This window comes from Homo sapiens, chromosome 7 (genome assembly GCF_000001405.40).
Source record: "Homo sapiens chromosome 7, GRCh38.p14 Primary Assembly".
Lineage (NCBI taxonomy): Eukaryota > Metazoa > Chordata > Mammalia > Primates > Hominidae > Homo > Homo sapiens.
The window spans coordinates 128,597,614-128,599,128 of record NC_000007.14 but is presented as its reverse complement, the minus strand read 5'-3'; the positions used below and the strand labels follow the sequence as shown (position 1 = coordinate 128,599,128).

The 1,515-nt window shown below is 34.1% G+C and overlaps 1 annotated feature.

Moving 5' to 3' along the window:
• Positions 700–863: a silencer, noted in NCBI's record as "fragment chr7:128238320-128238483 (GRCh37/hg19 assembly coordinates)". NCBI's record gives its function as "represses an EF-1alpha promoter that drives an FKBP-Casp9 reporter gene in an ReSE screen in HepG2 liver carcinoma cells {active_cell/tissue: HepG2}" and the evidence as "EXISTENCE:reporter gene assay evidence [ECO:0000049][PMID:32094911]".

Sequence of the window (1,515 nt, the reverse complement as noted above, 5' to 3'; positions counted from 1 at the left end):
AGCTGCTGTGGAAGAGTCTGGCAGTTCCTCAAAAACAGTTACCATATGACCTGGCAATTTCACTCTCCAGCATATATCCAAAAGAAACTAAAACGTATGTCTACACAAAGTCTTATACATGAATGTTCATAGCAACATCATTCATAATAGCCAAGAAGTGGAAACAACCTAAATGTCCGTCGACTGGTAAAAGGGTAAAGCCGTGACCAACTGGCACCAAAAAAGAATGATTCTATTTACTGATGTACACCCATGAAAATCCATGAAGCCATGATAATCAAAGAAGAGAAAGCTATTTGTCACCATTTGGCACAGCGATCGAACAACTCCCTACTTTAAAAGTTAAAAAAAAATGTAAAAGCCTCATTAGTAATTAAAAGGAAAGAACTAAGCATTTAGCCTGTCTTTCTAGTAGAACTGTATGTCAGTGTAGAGCAACAGGCACAGATGATGAGAAGAAAGTTCTATCTTATAGATGCTAATAAATACGTTATAATGCTAATTTTGCTATCTAGCAAAATGTTAACATGTTTTTTTAAAATGCCTATTTAACTATTTAGAGATAGGAGGTCAAGATTTCTGAATTGTATTTTAAAATACTTTGGCATAAAAAAAGGAAACTACCTTTTTAAAAAATCAAGTTTTGAAGAACATCTGCATAATGTTAAAAGACACAAGTTTTAAGGAAACAACAGACTTGCCATTAAGGGAAAAAAAGATCCAGTAGACCTTGACGACTAGAACTGTTACAATCTAAACTAATTCAATGTCTCTTTTCTTTTCAGTGAGTCCAATAAAATCATTTGGTTTTGCAATGCCCAACAATGAAACAATCATAATATTGTACATGTTCCTTGTTTTCAAGTCTTAGAATAATTTACAAAGCAGAAAAGACTCAATTGTAGTTAAAATAACAAACTAAATATCAAACACTCATACTGTAACAATAACTAAACAACTGAAAAAGAAAGAAAGACTGGGTGAAAGTTATGTTAAATTTGTCCTTCACAACAAGGAGTAAATAGATCTTACTTAAAGTTGATTAAATAAGGCCAGGTACAGTGGCTCAAGCCTGTAATCCCCACACTTTGAGAGGCCAAGGCAGGAGGATGGTTCAAGACCAGCCTAGGCAACACAGTGGGACCCTGTCTCCACCAACAAACAAATCAATCAATAAATAAGATTAAATAAGGAACACATTATTTGACATTAAAATGGTAATCCTTAGAAAATCCAAAACACAAACTGTTAACAGTAGTTATCTCTCTGAGAAATCCAAGGGAAGAATTTTACTCTTCTCCATCTCCTCAATTTCTTGCGGGTCACGTACATGTTCTATTTTCATAATTTAGGAAACTATTTGCTTATGATTTTCCCTGACAACATTCTCACCAATAGAAGAGGAAATGACCTTTTTCTAATCCCTCTACATCTCCCTTCTTCCTGGATCTTTATGTATGTTGTAATGTCATAAAGTTAAAAGTGAGAGGTCAGCTCAGATATCTTATTCTCTAG